The sequence below is a fragment of the Homo sapiens genome, chromosome 1, assembly GCF_000001405.40.
Source record: "Homo sapiens chromosome 1, GRCh38.p14 Primary Assembly".
Classification (NCBI taxonomy): Eukaryota; Metazoa; Chordata; class Mammalia; order Primates; family Hominidae; genus Homo; species Homo sapiens.
In genome coordinates, this window is record NC_000001.11 from 69,036,422 (window position 1) to 69,060,095 (window position 23,674).

The 23,674-nt window shown below is 37.3% G+C and overlaps 1 long non-coding RNA gene across 1 annotated transcript in view, besides 1 other annotated feature; it reads left to right on the forward strand.

Annotated features, from left to right (window-relative positions):
• Positions 18,486–19,685: an enhancer, noted in NCBI's record as "MED14-independent group 3 enhancer chr1:69520590-69521789 (GRCh37/hg19 assembly coordinates)". NCBI's record gives its function as "activates an origin of replication core promoter dependent on BRD2, BRD4, P300/CBP and CDK7 cofactors, and independent of MED14, by STARR-seq in HCT116 cells {active_cell/tissue: HCT116}" and the evidence as "EXISTENCE:reporter gene assay evidence [ECO:0000049][PMID:35650434]".
• Positions 19,477–23,674, forward strand: part of LINC01707 (long intergenic non-protein coding RNA 1707) — a 129,106-nt gene continuing 124,908 nt past the window's right edge. The window contains exon 1 of the long non-coding RNA NR_146608.1: positions 19,477–19,626. This is a non-coding gene — a long non-coding RNA (long intergenic non-protein coding RNA 1707). The remainder of the gene's footprint in view (positions 19,627–23,674) is intronic.

Genomic DNA, 23,674 nt, shown 5'->3' on the forward strand with positions numbered 1-23,674 from the left:
AACCCACAAAATGGGAGAAAATTTTCGCAACCTACTCATCTGACAAAGGGCTAATATCCAGAATCTACAATGAACTCAAACAAATTTACAAGGAAAAAACAAACAACCCCATCAAAAAGTGAGCCAAGGACATGAACAGACACTTCTTAAAAGAAGACATTTATGCAGCCAAAAAACACATGAAAAAATGCTCACCATCACTGGCCATCAGAGAAATGCAAATCAAAACCACAATGAGATATCATCTCACACCAATTAGAATGGCAATCATTAAAACTCAGGAAACAACAGGTGCTGGAGAGGATGTGGAGAAATAGGAACACTTTTACACTGTTGGTGGGACTGTAAACTAGTTCAACCATTGTGGAAGTCAGTGTGACGATTCCTCAGGGATCTAGAACTAGAAATACCATTTGACCCAGCCATCCCATTACTGGGTATATACCCAAAGGACTATAAATCATGCTGCTATAAAGACACATGCACACGTATGTTTATTGTGGTACTATTCACAATAGCAAAGACTTGGAACCAACCCAAATGTCCAACAATGATAGACTGGATTAAGAAAATGTGGCACATATACACCATGGAATACTATGCAGCCATAAAAAATGATGAGTTCATGTCCTTTGCAGGGACATGGATGAAATTGGAAATCATCATTCTCAGTAAACTATCGCAAGAACAAAAAACCAAACACCGCATATTCTCACTCATTGGGAATTGAACAATGGGAACACATGGACACAGGAGGGGGAACATCACACTCTGGGGACTGTTGAGGGGTGGGGGGAGGGGGGAGGGATAGCATTGGGAGATATACCTAATGCTAGATGACGAGTTAGTGGGTGCAGTGCACCAGCATGTCACATGTATACATATGTAACTAACCTGCACATTGTGCACATGTACCCTAAAACTTAAAGTATAAAAAAAAAAAGTTCATCATCATAAGAACAAAAAATCAGTTGAGCACTCAAGTGCCTGGTTTTAACTTTATGTCATTGAAAGAGGCACTGAAGAGATAGAAAAAACGGTCCTTAATCACCAACACCACCTCTCCCCAACCCCCTAGCTGTTGTGATGGGATATGGAGAGCATCTCTCGACCTGGGAGAACACAGCAATTGTAAGGCACTGAACTCAGTGCTGTCCTATTAGAGCAGGAAGAAAAACCAGACCAAACTCAGCTGATGTCTGCCCATGGAGGTAGCATTTAAACCACCTCCAGCCAAGGGGAATTGCCAGTCCAAGTGGTACAAACTTGAGTGCCTACAAACCTTACCACTGAGTGCTACAGCACTCTTTGTCTCCAAGTAAACTTGAAAGGCAGTCTAGGCTATAAGGACTGCAATGCTTAGGTGAGTTTCAGTGCTGAACTAGGCCCAGAGATGGTGGACTGGGGGAGTGGAGGAATGGAACATACTAAGACACCAGTTGGGGCAGAAAAGAGAGTGCAGGCATCACCCCTCCCCTAACTCCAGGCTGCACAGCATGCAGTTCCAAAAGAGACCTTTTACTTCCTCTTCAGGAGAGGTGAGGGAAAAGTGGGGAGGACTTTGTCTTGCTTCTAGGATACCAGCTCATTTATAGCAGGATAGGGCACTGGTAAGAGTCGTGAGGCCCGTGTTTCAGGCCCTAGCTCCCAGATGACACTTCTAGACACACTCTGGGCCAGAAGGGAACCCACTGCCTTGAATGAAAGGACCCAGTCCTGCCAGTATTCATTACCTGCTAACTAAAGAGCCCCTGGACCTTGAATAACCAGCAACAATACCCAGGTACAACATCATGAGCCATGGGCGAGCCTTGTTGGCTTCAGTTGAGACTCAACACATTACCAGCTATGGTGGCTACAGGACAAAAATCCTTCTGCTTGAGAAAAGTGGATGGAAAAGAAAAGGGGACTTTGTCTTGCACCTTAAATACTAAGACGGCCACAGAAGGAGAGAATGGCAAGTGGGCTCTTGAGGTCTCTGATTCCAGGGTTTGACTCTTGGGTGGCATTTCTGGACCCTTTCTGGACCAGTGGGGAGCCCACTGCCCTGAAGGGTGAGTGCTAGGCCAGGAAACATTCACCACAAGATGACTTAAGAGACCTTGGGCCTTAAGGAAACATTTGTGGTAGTCTGGCAGTACTCCTTGTGGCCTAGGGTGGCAGTGGCTATGGGGTAAGGCTACTCTGCTTTTGATAAGGGGAGGGAGGAGTGGGAAGAACTGCATCTTTTGTTTTGAGTGTCAGCTTAGCTGCAGTAAAACAGAACACCAGGTAGACTTTAAAAACCTTAGAAGTCCTTGACTCCCAGATGAAACTTCTGGATCCATCCAGAGTCTGGGGGACTTTGCTACCCTCAAGGGAAGTACACAGGCCTGGCGGGCTTTGTCACTGGCTGATTATAGAGCCCCAGGGCCTTGAACGAACATAGGCAGTAGCCAGAAAGTGGTTACAGCCAGCCTTGGGTGAGGCCCAGTGCCATGCTGGCTTCAGGTCTGACCCAGTGCAGTCATAGTAGTGGTGGCCACAAGGGTGCTTGTGTCATTGCACCCCCAGCTTTAGGACAGAAAGAGAGATGCTGTCTGTTTGGGAGGACATAAGGGAAGAGAACAAGAGTCTTTGCATGGTAATCCAGAGAATTCTCCTGGACGTTGCCCAAGACTATCAAGGTGGTACCCCTCCAAGTCTGCAAGAATTTCAAGGTTACTGGCTTGAGGTGACCCATAAAGCAGATACTGCTTACGTAACAATACCCAAGTCCTTTCAAATATGTGGAAAGCTTTCCCAAGAAAGATGACTACAAATAAGCCCAGACAGTAAAGTCTACAATAAATACCTAACCCTTCAATGCCCAGACACTGAAGAACATCTACTAGCATTCACACCATCTAGGAAAACATGACCTCACCAAATAAACTAAATAAGGCACCAGGGACTAGTCCTGAAGAAACACAGATATATGACCTTTCAGACAGATAATTCAAAATAGCTGTGTTGAGGAAACTCAAAAAAATTCAAGATAACACAAGGAAGGAAGTCAGAATCCTATGAGATATATTTGACAAAGAAATTGAAATAATTTAAAAGAATTAAGCAGAAATCCTGAAGCAGAAAAATGCAATGGCATATTGAAAAATGCATCAGAGTCCTTTAATAGCATAATTGATGAAGCAGAATAAAGAACTAGTGAGTTTGAAGATAGCTATTTGAAAATACACAGAGCAGACAAAAAGAAAAAAGAATAAAAAACAGTGAGGGATGCCTAGAAGATCTGGAAAATAGTCTCAAAGGGGCAAATCTAAGAGTCACTGGCTTTAAAGAGGAGGTAGAGAAAGAGATAGTGGACAAAGTTTATTCAAAGGGATAAAAACAGAGAACTTCCCAAACCTAGAGAAAGATATAAATATCCAAGTACAAGAAGACTATAGAACACCAAGCAGATTTAACCAAAAGCAGACTATCTGGAGACATTTTGTAATAAAACTCCCAAAGGTCAAGGATAAAGAAAGAATCCTAAAAGCAGCAAGAGAAAAAAAAATAATAACATACAATGAAACTCCAATATATCTGGCAGCAGATTTGTCAGTGGAAACCTTACAGGCCAGGAGAAAGTGGCATGATATATTTAAAGTGCTGAAGGAAAAAACAAAAACACAAAAAAACAAAAAAACAAAAAAAAAAAACCTTTTACCCTAGAATAGTATATCCATTGAAAATATCATTCAAACATGAAGGTGAAATAGACTTTCCCAGACAAATAAAAGCTGATGGGTTTCATTAATACCAGACCTGCCCTACAAGAAATGCTGAAGGGAGTACTTCAATCATAAAGAAAAGGACATTTATGAGCAATAAATCATCACCTGAAGGTACAAAAATCACTGGTAATAGTAAGTACAAAGGAAAACACAGAATATTATAACACGCTGTAACTGTGAGGTGTAAACTACTCTTATACTAAGGAGAAAGGCTAAATGATGAATCAATCAACAATAACTACAACAACTTTTTAAAACATTGTCACTACAATAAGATATGAGTAGAAACAATGAAAAGTTAAAAAGTTGGGGGACAAAGTTAAGGCATAGACTTTGTATTAGTTTTCTTTTTCTTTGTTTATGCAAATAGTGTTAAGTTGTTATCTGGTTAAAATAATGGATTATAAGATAGTATTTGCAAGCTTTATTATAATCTCAAATTAAAATTCATACAATGAATACACAAAAAATAAAAAGCAAAAAACTAAATCATATCACCAGATAAAATTATCTTCACTAGAGGAAGACAGGAAGGAAAGAAAAAAAAGGAAGAGAAGACCAGAAAACAATAACAAAATGGCAGGAGTAAGTCCATACTTATCAATAATAACATTGAATGTAAATGGACTAAACTCTCCAGTCAAGAGACAGAGACTAGCTGAATGGATGAAAAAACAAAACCCATTGATTTGTTGCCTGTAAGAAACATACTTCACCTATAAAGATACACAGACTGAAAATAAAGGGATGGAAAAAGATATTCCATGATAATGGAAACCAAACAAAAGAGCAGGAGTCACTATACTTACATCAGACAAAATAGATTTCAAGACAAAAACTATGAGAAGAGACAAAGAAGGTCACTATATAATGATAAAGGGGTCAATTCACCAAAAGGATATAACAATTTTAAATATATACACAGTCAACATGGGGGCATCCAGATATATAAAGGAAATATTATTAGAGCTAAAGAGAAAAATAGGTCCCCACACAATAATAGCTGGAGATTTTAACACCCCACTTTCAGCATTGGACAAATCTTCCAGACAGAAAATCAACAAAGAAACATCAGACTTAATCTGTAGTGTAGACCAAATGGATCTAATAGATGTTTACATAACATTTCATCCATGCTGCAGAATACACATTCTTTTCCACAGCACGTGAATTATTCTCGAGGATAGACCATGTGTTAGGTGAGAAAACAAGTCTTAAAATATTCAGAAAAATTGAAATAATATCGAGCATCTTCTCTGATAACAATGGAATAAAACTAGAAATTAATAATAGGAGGAATGTTGGAAACTATACAAATACTGGAGACTAAACAATATGCTCCTGAATGACCAGTGGGTCAAGGAATAAATTAAATATGAAATTGAAAAAATTCTTGAAACACATAGTAATGGAAACACAACATACAAAAACCTATGGGATACAGAAAAAGCGGTACTAAGAAAAAAATTTATAGCTATAGCTGCCTACCTCAAGAAAGAAAAAATACTTCAAATGAACAATCTAATGATGCGTCTTAATGAACTAGAAAACCAGCCGGGCACAGCGGCTCACACCTGTAATCCCAGCACTTTGGGAGGCAGAGGTGGGCAGATCACGAGGTCAAGAGTTTGAGACCAGCCTGACCAACATGGTGAAACCCCGTCTCTACTAAAAATACAAAAATTAGCTGGGCATGGGTGGCATTCATCTGTAGTCCCAGCTACTCAGGAGGCTGAGGTAGAAGAATCGCTTGAACCCAGGAGGCAGAGGTTGCAGTGAGCCGAGATCATCCCACTGCACTCCAGCCTTGGTTACAGAGCGAGACTCTGTCTCAAAAAAAAAAAAAAAAAAAAAAAAAAGGAAAGCAAGAGTAAGCCAAACCCAAAATTAGTAGAAGAAAAGAAATAATAAAGATCAGAGTAGAAATAAATAAAACTGAAATGAAAAAAGCAATACAAAAGATCAAAGAAACAAAAAGCTGTTTATTGAAAAGTTAAACAAAATTGACAAACCATTAGCCAGACTAAGAAAAAAAGAGAGATGATCCAAATAAACAAAATCAGAAATGAAAAAGGAGAGATTACAACTTATACCACTGAAATTCAAAGGTTCATTAGTGGCTTCTATGAGCAACTATATGCCAAAAAATTTAAAAATCTAGAATAAATGGACAAATTCCTAGCTACATACAACCTACCAAGACTGAACCATTAAGCCCAAAACCTGAACAGAACAAATAGCAAGTAACAAGCTGAAAGCCATGATAAAGAGTTCCAGTAAAGAAAAGCCTGTTATCTGATTGCTTTGCTGTAGAATTCTACCAAACATTTAAAAAAGCACTAATACCAATCCTTCTCAAACTATTCCAAAAAATAGAGGAGGAAATACTTCCAAACTCGTTCTACCAGGCCAATATTACCCTGACATGAAAACCAGACAAAGATACATTAAAAAAAAGAAAACTATAAGCCACTATATCTGATGAATATTGATGCAAAAATTCTCAACAAAATACTAGCAAACTCAATTCAACAATACATTAGAAAGGTCATTTATCATGACCAAGTGGGATTTATCCTGGGGATGCAAAGATGGTTCAACCTAAGTGTCCATCAACAGATGAATGGATAAGAAAAATGTGGTATGTAAACAAAAAGGAGTATTATTCAGCCATAATGAAGAATGAGATCCAGTCATTTTCAACAACATGGATGGAACTGAAGATGGTTATGTTAAGTGAAATAAGCCAGCTACAGAAAGACAAACATCACATGTTCTCACTTATGTGTGGGATCTAAACACCAAAACATTTGACCTCATGGACACAGAAAGTAGAAGGATGGTTACCAGAGACTGGGAAGGTTAGTGGGGAATATGGGGGAGGTGAAGTTTGTTAATAGTTATAAAAAAAACACAGAAAGGATAAATAAGACCTACTATTGGATAGCACAGTACAGTGGCTATAGTCACTAATAACTAAATTGTATATTTTAAAATAACTTGAAGAGTGTAATATGCTTGAGGGGATGGACACCCCATTCTCCATGGTGTGCTTATTTCACATTGCATGCCTGTTTCAATATATCTCATGTACCCCATAAATATATATACACCTGCTTGGACCCACAGAAATTAAAGAATAAAATATATAAAAAAAATAGACTACGTTTTTACTTACAAATTTGTATTTTGTTGCATTACAAAAGCAAAATAGGCCGAGTGCGGTGGCTCACGCCTTTAATCCCAGCACTTTGGGAGGCCAAAGTGGGTGGATCACGAGGTCAGGAGTTCGAGACCAGCCTGACCAACATGGTGAAACAGTGTCTCTACTAAAAATACAAAAATTAGCTGGGTGTGGTGGCACGTGCCTATAATACCAGTTACTCAGGAGGCTGAGGCAGGAGGATTGCTTGAACCCAGGAGTCGGAGGTTGCAGTGAGCTGAGATTGTGGCAGTGCACTCCAGCCTGGGTGACAGGGTGAGACTCCATCTCAAAAAAAAAAAAAAAAAGTATAACAATACATGTGTTCCTAAGATTTTACACATGTACATGCACATATAAATATCTGCATGTATGCATGTACATATGCAGAATGAAGTTGAGGGAAAAATAAAATACGTTGATGATAATAATAGCAATGAACTAAGAAATAAGATGAATTTAACTCTCTGTACCTAAAGACTAAAGAGAAAGGAAAAAGAGAGACAATTAATAAAAGTAGGCTATCTCAAATGAGAAATATGAAAATTTAGAAAAAAAAATCAAGTACAAATAAAACTTAGTCTAAAAACATTGTTGATATTAAATTTGTTAGTCAAAATTATGCAGAGTTAACATTATTATTTATAATTAGTTTCAATTAACTTTATAGTTTTAGCTTCCCAGGACATTAAGACTTTTTGAGAATGTAATTTTTAATGCTATATAGTTGTCTAACATACAGATAGACTGTAATTTATTTTATTATTTTATAGCACTATTGGAAATGTAGGATTATTTCTATTCTTAATATTACGAATTATGATTTGATTGACATGCTTATACATTTTGGTCAGAATTTTTGATCATTTCTATAGTGTACATTCTGAGAAGTAGAATACACAGACCAAAAGGTATGGATATTTTTAAGACTTCTTGGAAAATTGCTCTCTGAAAAACTTTTCTCTCTTTGTACTGACATCAACAATATATTAGCATGTCTATTTTAACATCCTTTGTAACAATGAGCATTAGTTTTAGATTTGATAATTTATGAGTAAACTAAGGTAATTCATTATATTTTTGTTTAATGTCTTTATCGATAAATTTGACATATTTCTTTATATAATTATTGGGTGTCTGTGAAGAATAAAATACATATGCTTTTAAATTTCTCTGAGCAAAGCTAATTAGCTAATTTTACCTAAATAATAATAATACCTCTAAGTAGGTACAATTACAAATTTTATACATACATATACAAACATATGTATATGTGTGTGTATGTATGTGTGTGTGTGTGTATATACTTATATATTGGTGCAAAAGTAATTGCAATTTTTGTTGTGGAAAGTAATGGCAAAAAACACAATAATTATTGCAGCAACCTATATTTATTATGTAAATATGTAAATAAATAAATATCCATATATATGGGTTCATATAGATATGGAGATATATGTATGGAGATGTATGGGTTTAATTTAACAAATGTATTTATTATATTAAATGTATATAAACCTAGGTGAATAGTCCTGGAATTTTCCCCTTTTAACAACTATACGTTATTCACTTTCTAATGATATTCATTTCTAAGTGTGTTCATATTTGTACCAGTTATTTTTATAGCTATACTAGACTGTATCAAAATTTTATTCTCAAGATGAAATGCTACTTCTCATAGAGATAGAAAATATATTTTGATCAGAAAATGATGCTCATGCAAGAGATGAGACCTTTTATGTGATTTATATTGATTTAGACTGTATAAAATAAGACTATCTAGATTAAAAATAGCACATACAGGTCAGAAGCTAGTTCATTTTCCCATCTGAGTCATCTTATAATGGAGCTATTTTACTGAAGAGACATATTTAATTCTGTGCATTTTACCTTTAGAACAAGCAGAACTTTGATAGTTGAGAAAACAGTCTTAAGTATGATTAAAGGCAATAAAAACACAGTGGTAAAAGAAACAGATATGCACTTATTAGAGAAACAAAAACATTAGGGTCCCTTAACAGTTGTCTAGAAATATATGTAAGATAACATTAATCTATTATTCTGTAAAATTTGGTGCGAATGTGTCTCTCAGTTTTTCTTTAAATTTTATGATATTTTTGATATGCAAAAGTATTAGATTACCTATTTTTAAAAAACTTTTTTTAACTTTTATTAGGTTCAGAGGTATATGTGCAGATTTGTTATATAGGTAAACTGCTTGTCACTTGGGTTTGGTATACAGATTATTTCATTACACATGTAATAAGCATAGTACCCAATAGGTAATTTTGCTGATCCTCCCCTTCCTGCCACCCTCCACCCTCAAACAGGCCACAGTGTGTGTTGTTCCCCTCTATGTGGTGTCAATGTGATCTCATCATTTAGCGCCCTTATAAAGTGAGAGTATGTGGTATTTAGTTTTCTGTTCCTGTTTTAGATAATGGCCTCCCACTCCACCCATGTGCCTGCAAAGGACATGATCTCACTCTTTTTTATGGCTGGCTAGTATTCCATGGTGTAAATGTACCACAGTACCACATTTTATTTTATCCAGTCTACCACTGATAGATGCTAAGGTTGATTTCATGTCTTTGCTACTGCGAATAGTGCCACAATGAACATCTGTGTTCATGTGTCTTTATGGTAGAAAAATTTATATTCTTTTGGGTATATACCTAATAAAAGGATTACTGGATCAAATGGCAGCTCAGTTTTAAGTTATTTGAGGAATTGCCAGACTACTTTTCACAATGGCTAAACCAATTTACAATCCCACCAGCAGTGTACAAGCATTCCCTTTTTCTCTGTAACCTCAGCAGCATCTGGTTTTTTTTTTTTTTTTTGACTTTTTACTAATAGCCATTCTGACTAATGTGAAATGGTATCTCATTGTGGTTTTGATTTGCAATTCTCTAATAATTAGTGATGTTGAGCATTTTTTATAGGCTTGTATACACTGCATGCATATCTTCTTTTGAAAAATGTCTGTTCATGTCCTTTGCCCACTTTTTAATAGGGTTGTTTGATTTTGCTTCTAAATTTGTTTAAGTTCCTTATAGATTCTGGATATTAGATCTTTGTTGAATGCATAATTTGCAAATATTTTCTCCTATTCTGTAGTTTGTTCACTCTGTTGATAGTTTCTTTTGCTCTGCAGAGGCTCTTTCGTTTTAATTGTATCCCATTTGTCAATTTTTTGTTTTGTTGCAATTGGTTTTGGCAACTTTGCCATTAAAGCCTTGCCAAGTCCTGTGTCAGAATGGTATTTCCTAGGTTATCTTTCAGGGTTTTTATAGCTTTTCATTTTACATTTAAGTCTTTAGTTCATCTTGAGTTGATTTTTGTATGTGGTTTAAGGTAGGGATCTAGTTTCTATCTTCTGTGTATGAAGAGCAAGTTATTCTAGCATCATTTATTGAATAGAGAGTCCTTTTCCCATTGCTGGTTTTTGTCAGCTTTGTCAAAGATCAGATGGGTCATCAGTGTGTGGCCTTATTTCTGGGTTCCCTATGCTGTTCCATTGGCCTGTGTGTCTGGTTTTGTACCAGTACTATGCTGTATTGGTTACTGTAGCCCTGTAGCCCTGTAATATAGTTCGAAGTCAGGTAGCCTGATGCCTCCAGCTTTGTACTTTTTGCTCAGAACTTCTTTGGCTCTTCAGGCTCTTTTTTGGTTAAATATGAATTTAATTTTTTCTTCTAGTTCTGTGAAGAATGACATTGGTAGTGATATCGGAGTGGGGCAGAGAAGTGCTAGGTAGGAGAAAGGAGGGGTCCTGTTAAGGGCACCATCTTCGGGCTTGTGCCCACTGGCCTAGGTGACGACAGGCACTCCTATTTTCATGCTCAAATGTTGCATTCTCCAAGACCACTCTGGCCCACCACACTCCCATCCTATTCCTATAAAAACCCCGAGACCCTAGTGGGCAGACACAAGTGGCTGGACGTCGAGAGAAGCAGAGGGGTGGAAGAACACACCTGCAGAATAACACACTGACGGACCCCAGCAGGCCATCCACTGCAGAACTATGCGGATGAAGTGGAATTCAGCTGAGGGTGGTCTGAGGAGAGTCCGGCCACTGGGAAGCCCGACTCCTGGGGAAAACCACCTTCCTACTCTGTCCCCTTCAAGCCTCCCCATTCACCTCGCCGAGAGCTACCTTCACTCAATAAAACCTTGCACTCATTCTCCAAACCCACGTGTGATTCGATATTTTCAGTATACTAAGGCAAGAACCTGGGATACAGAAAGCCCTCTGTCCTTGCAATAAGGCAAAAGGTCTGATTGAGCTGATTAAATACAAGTCACCTGTGGATGGCTAAGCTGAAAGAGCACACTGTAAAACACACACTGGGGCTTCAGGAGCTGTAAACACTTAACCCTAGATGCTGCCATGGGGTCGGAGCCCACGCTTCCCACGACCTGCCCATCTGCCTGCTCGCCTTAGGGGTTTTGAGCAACAGGACACTGAAGAAGTGAGCCACAACCCCATCACATGCCCTGCGAGGGGGACAAGGGAACTTCTCCTGTTTCAGCAGTTTGATAGGAATAGCATTGAATCTGCAAATTGCTTTGAAAAGTAAGTACATTTTAACAATATTGGTGCTTTCTATCCATGAGCATGGAATATTTTTTCATTTGCTTGTGTCATTTCTGATTTCTTTGAGCAGTGTTTTCTAATTCTCATTGTAGTGATCTTTCACCTCCCTGGTTAGCTGTATCTGTAGGTATTTTATTCTTTTTGTGGCAATTGTGAATGAGATTGCATTCTTGATTTAGCTTTCAGCTTGGATGTTGTTGTATAGAAATGCTACTGATTTTTTGTAGATTGATTTTGTAACCTGAAACTTTGCTGAAGTTGTTTATCAGATTAAAGAGCCTTTGGGAAGAGATTATGAGGTTTTCTAGATATAGAATCATGCTGTCTTCTAACAGGGATAGTTTGACTTCCTCTCTTGCTATTTAAATGCTTTGTATTTGTTTCTCTTGCCTGATTGCTCTGGTCAGGACTTTCACTACTATGTTGACTAGGAGTGGTGAAGGAGAGCATCTTGCTCTTGTTAAGAGTTTTGGAGAGGACTGCTTCCAGCTTTTTTCCATTCAGTATAATGTTGGCCGCGGTTTTGTTATAGATGCCTCTTATTATTTTGAAGTATGTTCTTTCAGTGCCTAGTTTATTGAGGGCTGTTAACATGAAGGAATGTTGAATTTTATCCAAAGCCTTTTCTGCATCTATTGATATAATCTTGTGGTTTTTGTTTTCAGTTCTGTTTACGTGATGAATCACATTTATTTGTTTGCATATGTTGAACCAACCTTGCATCTTGGGGATGAAGCCTACTTGATCATGGTGGATTAGCTTTTTGATGTGCTGCTGGATTTGGTTTGCTAGTATTTTTGAGGCTTTTTGCATCTATGTTCATCAAGAATATTGGCCTGAATTTTTCTGTGTGTGTGTGTGTGTGTGTTGTGTCTCTGCCAGGTTTTAGTATCAGGATGATTCTGGCCTCATATAATGAGTTAGAGAGGAGCCCCTCCTTTTCAACTTTTTGGAATAGTTTCAGTAGAAATGGTACCAGCTCTTCTCTATACTTGTGGTAGAATTCAGCTGTAAACTCATCTGGTCCTGGGCTTTTTGGTTGGTAAGCTTTCTATTATTGATTCAATTTTAGAACTCTTTATTCGTCTGTTCAGAGATTAAATTTCTTCCTGGTTCAAACTTGGGAGACCGTATGTGTGGAATGTATCCATTTCTTCTAGATTTTCTAGTTGACATGCTCCTGGGACTCCATGTGTGCCTGAGCAGAGGCTCTGTCCAGACTCCACATAGCTCTCTGTGTCAGTCTGGAGGTTCCAGAGGTGTGAGCTTACAAGGGGATCACCTGAGCCTAGGGTTGCAAAGGTCCATGGCAGAAGTGTCTGTCCCTGGGGACTCAATTGCTCATCATTTCCCCAAGGTAGAAAAGTCTCCCCTGGCTCCATGCCACACCTGAGTGGGAGGTTGTCCTGTCTCGCTCCTCTCTGTTCTCCATAGGTCAAGTTATTTCTTTGATGAATCCCAATGTGTTCCAGTTGAATGTTGCAGTTGAAGATCTAATAATTACTTGCTACTCTTTCTTTCCATGAGAGTGATGCACACTAGCTGCTTCTAGTCAGCCATGTTGGCCTCCTCCTTAAAATCTTTTCAGTGTAGTTTATCTCATTGCTTTTATCATAAGAAAGTCATTCGATAAGCTAAGGTTACCCAAATCGTCTTTGCTATGCTAATTTTTACAACTCTATAATTTACATTTTATTCTCTAAGGCATCAAAAATTCATTGTGGTCTATGGTGAAAGCTAATAATATAACTTAATTATTTTCTAATACTTTGGCAATTTTTAAAACAATGGTTTGTTTGTTACAGTGAGTGTGAATACTGTTAATTTTTTAGTATTACTGCACTGTCGCCTTATGAGTTTTACTTCTGAAAATTGATTGAGGTTATTTTTCTTATATGTTTTAAAACATTCTATGAGGGGTTGGCAATATTTATTTAATTTTTAGATATACATTGAATGTATTCACTATTCAATATACATCTAAAAATAATGTATATCTAAAAATCAAATAAACATTATCATTCAGATTTTTCAAATACTCTATATTCTTTATTTTGGTTTCAGTTGTCCCATAACAATTGCACACACTGAGAAATTACATCAGGTTCTTCTGGTTAAATAACATTTTAAACTTGAAAATATGAAGACAAGCTAGGATATTTTCGTTTGAAGAAACAAAATAGTTTTGAAGTTTTATAAAAATCTAAGTAAATTCAAACATAAAATAATAGAAAGAACATGAGTAGAGGAAGCTTAGCAATTAAGACTTGGTAATGTGGGGTTTTTTTTTTTTTGCCTTTTCTTTTCTTTTTTTTTAATTATACTTTAAGTTTTAGGGTACATGTGCACAATGCGCAGGTTTGTTACATATGTTGTATACATGTGCCATGTTGGTGTGCTGCACCCATTAACTCGTCATTTAACATTAGGTATATCTCCTAACACTATCCCTTCCCCCTCCCCCCACCCCACAACAGGCCCCAGTGTGTGATGTTCCCCTTCCTGTGTCCATGTGTTCTCATTGTTCAATTCCCACCTATGAGTGAGAACATGCGGTGTTTGTAATGTGGGGTCTTAAACATCATGGCAAGGAGCTGAGACCTTATTTTTTAGGCCACCTATTTTTAAATGCTGGTTTTGTTCCAGCTGCATAAAAATAACCTGAGGATTTTTGTAAGTATACATTGAAATCATATTTAAGTTACAGTTAGATTCTGACGGCAACTCTAAGAGGCAAATATCTTGTATTATCAAAATAAGTGCTGAAAAATCTCTTAGCGTATACTTGTGTGGTCACCTTGTACAGTAACTCCTATGGATGCTAAAGTCTGAGTATCAGCAAAAAATGAGAATATTGTGAAGATGATTGGGCATTCAAACTTATCTACACTTAAGATAAATATCCATATATATTGGTGAATGACGATTAGGTTGAAATATTGTTCCTGGCCCAGTCTGTTTCCCTTTTGCTTCTGGTGCTCCAATTACTTGTTTAATAATCCTTTTTAAAATAATAGATATTTCTCCACTCCTTTTTTAATTTTCTGTCATCTTGCCTCTCAATGATTTAGTCTAGATTTATTTTTTGAACCACCTTCCAGTTTGACAATTCTTACTTTGTATGTGCCTAATTTGTTAATGCCATTGATTGAATTTTACTTTATTATATTTTTATATTTTATATTACATTATATTATATTTTGTTACATATTTATATAATAATGAAGAGAGATATATTTATTATATATATATATATATATCACATTGTTATTATATTTTTCAGTGCTAGGATTTCTAATTGATACAGTTTCCAGTCCTCTGCCTAAATTGTCCACCTTGTATTTTAATTACTTGAGCATATTAATCACAGTTTTATAGTGGATTTGAAAATTCACTTATGTATAGCTCTGGTGGGGATTTTATTTGCTCTTTTTCTTGGTTTTTTGATGAAATCTTTTTTTATGTTTGGGGCTTTTATTACTTTTTTTACATTAAATGTACTTTTTATATTAAACGTAAAAATTGTAAACATAATTTGAGACTCTAGATGTTTTCACTCTCCAAAAAAAATTTTAATTTTATTTCTAGCATGTATCTAGCGGGGACAATAGCAATACCAGATCATCTTAATACAATAAAGGTCTGAGATAATTTGAAGCTGAAACTTAATCCTTCTCTTAACTTTCACCCTTATTCCTATGTTTAGCCCTTTAAAGTCCCAACAGAAACCTATGCATGTGCCAGAACCCTTCCTGCTTAGTGGGTTCTGAACTCCAGTTTTGGTTCTCTCAGCCCTTTCTCTCTGCCAAAATCTCTGCCTACATTCTCAAACTTTCCAAAGATACTTTCGGAGTTAGCCAATCCCTCAACAGGAAACATAGTACTAATTGCCAAGCTCATCTCTTTGGTTTTCCTCTTGCCCCCCACACCCCAAACCCTAGCCCTCAAAATTTTATTGTCTGATAACTTTCCAATGCCCGTAGATATTTTAAAGCTGCTTTGCCCAACGTTCCTAGGAAGTATAAGAATTTTATATCAGAGTTTTCCAAGCAACAGAGGTCAAAATAGAATTAGCCATGCAAGAGATGTATTGGAAGCAATGTCTGTAAACATAAAGGTGAGGAAGTGAAAGAGTAGGCAGAGAGATTATTCAGACGATGATGCAGTTCTGAAACCCGGGAAAGAGGAGAGGGAAGGAAGAATAATTGGTTAGGAAAAGCTTTATGCTACAATGTACTTCTGGGGAAGTCTCAGCCCAGACAAGGGGGAGCTACAAAGTGAAGATTAACTATCAAAGAAGTCTTGTGTTAGCAGAAATGGCCCAGCTATAATACCCCCACCAAGTTCAGTCATTAGCTTTGAGCAACTCTGAGTGAGCATGGCCTTGGGGAAAACACTGAACTGTAGAGGATCGAAAGATGTGGTAACTGGAAGATCTTTTCCAGCTACTGTGCTCATAGCAAGTTTCCTTGAAGGGATAGCTAGTGACCTATGGAACCACAGGCCTTATAGCATAAATGTACTGCATAAATATTATGTATGATTTATTCCCCATCACCTTTACTTTTTCTTACCTTGTTATTTAGTGATTGATGTGTATATTTATAAGACTGCTTCAAAATAGCATTGGAATAAAGCAGACTATAATATTTTTAAACTTGTGGATTAACTTAAAAAATAAATATCTAAAAATAAATATTGGAACACACCAGAAATAGAATGGATGTCATTTTACTTAACTGGATAGTTTATTAAATCCCTTAAGCTTTTGATTATATTGATTTCTATTTTTGTTTTATGTTTTGTTCATCAGCATATTACCTGTAGATCTTATTTACTGATTTTAGAGATGTAAAAGGCCTAAATGTGTTTTCTTCTTTCCGCCTATTGCCAGATGCTTGAATTATACAATCAGATTAACAATATATTGTCTCATACTTCATGTTTTCTCCTGCCTCTCCCTGGAGTGCCCCTCACTGCTTCTTATTGTGGTTATTTCTTATGTTTCTTTCAAGGATCAGTTCAAGCATCATCATCTTCAGGAAGTACCCCCATATAACTTTTCTATGTTTCTGTAATATCTTATGGATATGTTCATTATATCACTTACCCCACTGTGCTTTAATGATTGTTTGAGCTCCTTGAACAGACACCTTGCTTGTGTTTTTCATAGTATTTCTTATAAGTAGTAATTTGTAAATAAGTGCTCAATAAATGTTTGTTCAATAAAAATATATGTAACCGTAAGTATGTTTAGCACCTCTATTTAGTCATATTCACTGATTGTGGTGAAGACAGGCATAGGTTTTGCTTGACATAGGGGGCAGGATGCAGTTCTAGGTACTAGTGATGGGGCACTGCATATTGAAGAAGGTTTAAAAAATGACCACCCCATCACGAGGTCAGGAATTTGAGAACAGCCTGGCCAACATAGTGAAACCCCATCTCTACTAAAAATACAAAAAATTAGCCAGGAGTGATGATGGGCACCTGTAATCCTAGCTACTAAGGAAACTGAAGCAGAAGAATCACTTGAACCCAGGAGATGGAGGTTGTAGTGAGCCGAGCACTCAGCCTGGACAACAGAGCGAGACTTTGTCTCAAAAAAAACAAACAAAAAGCAAACAAACAGCAAACAAACAAAAAACGAACAAGCAACTGGCCACCCCTAAAGAGCATAGAATGTGCTTACCATGGGAAACCTGAGAGTAAGTTACTTGCTGAAAAGTAACTCACAATTTTTCACAAAGCTCTCTAGGATTTCAATTTTAGTTTGTTTTCAGTATCTATTACCTAAGCCTAAGTGGATTGGTTTGGTAAACTAAGTGTTTTTAGCCATTAGTGAAAAGCAAATGGCATTCACACATCTGCTTAATGAAAAAAAAAAAAACATGTTTTTTTAGTTTCCTACAGATGCGGTCAAGAATAGGGTGTTAGTTATACCTAGGAGCAAAAAACAAAATCAATATCAAATGTGAAATGTCACTTACAGCTTTATCTTGCCAGTTTTTCTTTTAGACCTCTCTTGATTTCTGGAACAGAGGCTCTGAGACTATTCATTTGTGTGGTTGTCTTAGTTGTTCTCCTCTAGAACACTCACCAGCCTTTTGATTCCTAACTCCCTTATTTCTGTTGTCCTCACCTCCAGAACACTGTTCAGATTGAATGGGAACTAGGCTGGAGAAACACTATAGCTCTGCTTTATGCAATATCACACTTACACAGCAATTGGCATAACTATCATGTTTTAAAAATTAATAATAGGTCTGGTGCAGTGGCTCACGCCTGTAATCCCAGCACTTGGGAGGCTGAGATAGGCGGATCACCTGAGGTCAGGAGTCCAAGAACAGCCTGGGCAACATGGTAAAACCTCGTCTCTATTAAAAATACAAAAATCAGCAGGGCATGGTAGCACTTGCCTGTAATCCCAGCTACTCGGGAGGCTGAGGCACAAGAATCGCTTGAACCCAGGAGGCAGATGTTGCAGTGAGCTGAATCATACCACTGCACTCCAGACTGAGTGACAGAGTGAGATTCTGTCTCAAAAAAAATAATAATGAGAATTATGACATGTTAGAAATTTCACAAATAAGATTACTCTGAATGATATTTATAAATATACCTTTATTTTTTCCTTCTAGTGAGCTTAAGATACTTGACTATGGAAAACCTATTATAAGAGCAAAAAAACGAAATATTTTTCTCTAAGTTTTGTGGACATCACCTTTCTGCTTAAAATTTTCCAATGGCTTTGCACTGCAAATTGAATAAATTTCAAATGCAATGTCTGCAAGGCCTTACATAATCTAGATGTCACCTGTCTTTATAGTTTATTCTCTTAATATTTTTGCCTGGTTCCCTATTCCCAGTAGACTTCCTTTTAATATTCAGTCATGTCTAGGCTCTTCCTTCCTTAGAAATTTTGCCTATCATCGTCCACATTTTCCCTGGTCTTCATGTATCTGGATTTTTTGTTTGTTTGTTTGTTTTCTTTTTTTCATTCAGTTCTCAGCTCAAATGTCATCTTCTTAGAAATGTTTACTCTGACAATCTTAGATAAAGTAGGCCCCTCCTCACCCTGCCTCTATTTTATTAGTCTATTTTACTTACTCTAAAGTATTCTACATTACCTTAACCTGTTGATTCCATGAGGGCATGAACTTTGTTTGGTCACTATAAAGGAGACAACTTGGCTAAAATATCAACAGTGTCATATGTGATCCTGCCACCTTCAGATTCAGTTCTTTGAAAGCTCAAAGATTAGCTTTGATTGTGAGAGAGGAGAACAGAAGAAAATGGTCAAGCAGACGGTTAGGGTGGGCCCTTGGTTGAATTCTTTTGAACAAAAGAACAGCCTGAAAAATCAAGCTGTGGGCACAGATAAGGGAACTTGCACAGCAGAGCTTGCCTAAGACATGCCTACTGCAGCACAGACAAGAAAGGCTACACAGGTGACCTGCCCAGACATGCCCACGATAGAAAATTCCATCCTCTAACACATGTGCAGTTAAGGGGAACAAAGCAATATAGAGTAACTCAAGCTAAGGGCCCACATACACACTAGGAGGATGGGGATGGAGCTACCAGAAATTTGTGCCTTGTGAAAATTAGACATCCAGGCCCCATCAGTTTCTTATAAAAGCCTCTGCATTCAACTGTAAAAACAGCAACCCGTTTGGTCCCCTTCTCTGCTGCAGAGAGCTTCTTTCACTTATTAAATTTTTGCTCCAACCTCACCCTTTGTGTCCACGTTCCTTAATTCTCTCTGTTTTGAGACAAAGAACTCCAGGTGACACATCACAATGAAAGACTGCTACATTGTGGTACATTGGTAACACTGTAACAATGGGACTGACTTCACATATGGGTGGTCACTGAGAAGAGGACAACTGGCTACAAATATCAACAGGCTTTAACAGTCTTCTTTCCTTCAAGTCCAGTTCTTTGAAAGTCCAAATTTGCTCTGAACTGACTTCAAGCAAGTGCCCACTCTTGAACAAATTACTGAGGCTGGAGGATAAAGACACAAATTGGCCAAACTTGGATTACCTGCCTTCTGCATCTTAAAGGTAGGACCAGCTCAGAGAGTAAAGACTGAGAATATGAACGAATGATTTTCCAGAGAAAATTAGGGTAATTTTTCTGAAAAAATTGGGGTTTGGGAGAATGGGAACTGGGCAGTGAAAGCAGCAGTTGCTAACTAAAAGAAATAGTAATCGATATGTTCAGTTTAAAGGGCTACAAGGCATTCCTTAGGGTGGATGTATACTAATATAGCTTATCATTTCCCTGTGGATGAATATTTTAGGTTGTTTGCAAAATAGTGTTATGATAAACATCATTGTTCATTTATTTTGATTATATCAAAATTATTCCTAGCCACATATGTAGTTGTAAATTTTCTAATAATCACATTGAAGAAGTAAAAAGGGGCCGGGCCCGGTGGCTCACCCCTGTGATTCCAGCACTTTGGGAGGCCAAGGCAGGCAGATCACAAGGTCAGGAGTTTGAGACCAGCCTGGCCAACATGGTGAAACCCTGTCTCTAATAAAAGTACAAAAATTAGCTGGCCATGGTGGCACCTGCCTGTAATTCCAGCTACTCAGAAGGCTGAGGCGGGAGAATCGCTTGAACCAGGGAGTCGGAGGATGCAGTGAGCCAAGATCGTGCCCCTGCACTCCAGCCTGGTGACAGAGCAAGACTCCCCCGACCAAAAAAAAAAAAAAAAAATTTTAAAATTTAAAAGTAAAAAGAAACAAGTGAAGTTAATCATTTATGTATTTGTTGAACCCAAAAATCAACAATAGTCTATTTTAACATGTAATTAATACTAACATTTATTTATGGTATTGTTTACATTTTGTTCTTTTACTAAAGTCTGAAACCTGGGGTGCATTTTACACTTACAACATGCTCAATATGGATTAATGTTCAGCAGCCAAGTGGAATAAGTGACTATCTTATCGGAGAGCACAGCTCTAGAATATTCCAGTTCTAGTAAGCACATAGGGGGTTTTACAAACCCAAGTGCTCTCAGAGACTGGTTTCTGGATAATAATTTAAATCTAGCTTTAAATTGAACCTAGTACAAATCACTCATTAATCAATAGACTGTCCATCTCTAAAAAAAGTCTTACTCTAAGTGGTGGTTTGGAAATACATAGTGGGGAAAACTTGACAACATCTCAAACCAATAATGAAGACAAGAGTAGTCACCAGGAGGAGGCTTAAGAAAAATGCTGAGTCTTAGAATAACGAAAAGTTTGCCTGGGGTGTGGTGAGAAATGGTAAGACTCTGGGAAAACTTAGATAAAGCTACCCAAAGGAGAAGAATGTGAATCTGGTAAACTCCAGTTGTGAAGCACCGGTGCAGTAAATTCCACTGTGATCTCAGAGAGTTCATCAGACTTTGGGTGAAATATGGTTTTAGATTGTGCAAATCTTTTTACTGTGATTTCAGAAACATATCTAATATATATTGAGTGCTTACTCAGAGCTGTGTTCTGTGTTCATTTGTTTCTCACATGAATTAGGAACTATTCTTATAGTAATTTTGCTGATAAACCAATTGAGATGCGAAGTAATTAGTTTCATTGTTAGCAACTGGTGATGCTGAGATTTAAGCTGCTGATTTCTAACTCGAGAGTCCACCACATTAGCTCTGTTCTATTTTATTCTCAGTATATTACATGTTTTTTTACAGTCAAGCCTTTTCAGTAATATTTATCTTTCTGTGAACACTGACACTAGCAATAGGTCCCTTAAAATCTTAGACATAAGTATTCTAATCAGCTAAAGCTATATTTCCCTTTGAAAATTACTGCTTAGAAATTCAACTTATATTTTGATGACTTATGAAATGGCTAACAACGTTAGTCCCAAGGCCCCAGTGAACTCTGGGTATGAAAAAAAATTATTTAAAGTTGAAGGCTGTAGGAGAGAAAAAAATATATATTTTTCTCCTCACCCATTGCGAGGTTCATGGCTGACACCTCTATAACAAAAGGCAGATTAATAAGAAAAAATATATAAATTTATTTAGTAGTTTTATATGACATAGAAGTGTTCAGAAATAAAGACCCAAATATCTATGGAAAACCCTACTTTTATGGATAGTCGCGCAGAAGTGTGACTGGAAGACAAAGAGTATGATCTAATTCTAATAAGCTGGAGGAACTTACTAATGCCTGTTTTTTCAGATTCTTCTTGGTTTCTAGATGAAGAGTAAAGACCCTGTGGAACGAGGGTCTTCTGACTTACTTTCAGCAAAAGTAGTCAGAGGCTTCTTTTATGACCTGCTTCAGGACATAAAGGCAGAAAGTCAGGGTGACAACCTTGCTGCTGCTGTGGATTTCTTGATTTCCTTCTGCTTAAGATGCTCAACATGCCAAGATGCCATATTTGTGGTATTGTGGTATTGTGATCTGAGGTCTGGCAAGACCAAATCCTGAATCCTGGAGACTCCATTAGACCCTACCTGAATAGCCATCCTCTCCCCCTGTCTTTATGACCTTGCCGTCTCATCTTTCAGACAATTCTATTGAGTTGTTAGAAAGAAATTGCCCTTGGATAAATAAGAAAGCATCTGTCATCTTAATGTGACAGTTAGTAAAGTAGCACAGGACCAGAACAATAATCATTTAATTGTTTTCGATTGCTTGGGAAATGCCACTGAGCCTCAAACAAATGCCTGGGGGAGGGTGTAATAAAAATGTCGGTGTGGGAGTGTGCATTATCTCATTCCAGTTCCCAAAGTTATTTGGAGATCCAATAGTCTGACCCACTCCCACCACCCCCACAACCCAATAAAAAGAAAGAAAGAAAAGAACAGGAAAAAAAAAAGTTACTAGACTGAGAATGTAAATGTTGTTATGTTTCTTTGCTATTAGTTACTTTGAGGCTTCAATTTTTGACTTGGAGAAAGTATGTCTGCTGGTGGCACCATGCTTGAGGCAATGGGAAAAATATGTGAACCAGTATTCTTCCTATAAGCCAGGAGAAAATGCTGTTATACATAGTATTTATAAACAGCCCCGAAAATAATTACTGAATTCAGAAACAGTTTATCATAGGTAAGCACAGGGCTGAGCAGAGAAAGTTTTAGGATTTAAAAGTTCAAGTGGCAGAGAAAATGACTTTTTCTTTTAATGAAATGTTTTGTTGAAGTGTTTCGAATGTGATTACCAGGAGTAAAAAGGTAGTCCAGCAGACTTTTCCAGCCTCTCAGGCGTAGTGCTCAGGGAAGGCAGATATCATTCTTCCTCAACCTGTTTTGGAATCCTAACAGCATGGTAAAGAGGGATTTGGCAAAGGTTCCTGAGGATAGAAACTGTGTTTCTCTTGTTTTTTGCTGTATCCTCAGGCTGTGGCACTGGCAAGGCATTATGTAGAGTTTTATAAGTATCTATTAAAAGCTGCTGAATAAATAAGAGACTTTGTCTTATCACCCAGAATTTCTTTCATTGGTGATTGTTTGGCTGTGTATCTGGAATTAAATATAAGCTAGTGGACCTCTTGGTAGACTGCCATAGAGGAAATTCAGAGGGGATCAAAGCAGATAACCTCAATGTCAGTTTTAATCTTGAGAGGCTACAATTCTAAAACCTTTCAAAGACTCAATTTGATGGGCCTGATTAAGCAAAATGTCTAGTCCCTCAGTGTCAGGAACACACCTCTGATGGAATTTGTGAATTTTTTGATGAAGATATATATTTACAAGAAAAGACTGCTGGACTCCTCCAGATACAGGCTGATACACAGGGTTTATCTGTCACAAATGTAAAATCAGAGCCTCCCAACAATTTTAGAAAATAATTTTTTTATTAGGCTCAGAAGTGACCTTAACAAAGTTTTGGGGAATTTCTGTCAAGGTCCTTGAGCTCCATGGGAACCATTTGAGTCTGGGAAGGTACCTGGGTGACCTGAACTTAATTGGCTCCTCTCTTGGCCCCTCTGAGACCCTCACTGAATCACCACGTACATGGAAGTAATGACACTTACCGCCTTGCATTCATTAGTATAATAGCTTTAATGATTTGATTTGCTCCTATAAAAGTTGCTATATAAATGCAAATGATTGCCAAGGATGATAATTAACAGTCTTCAGCTGCAAACTAT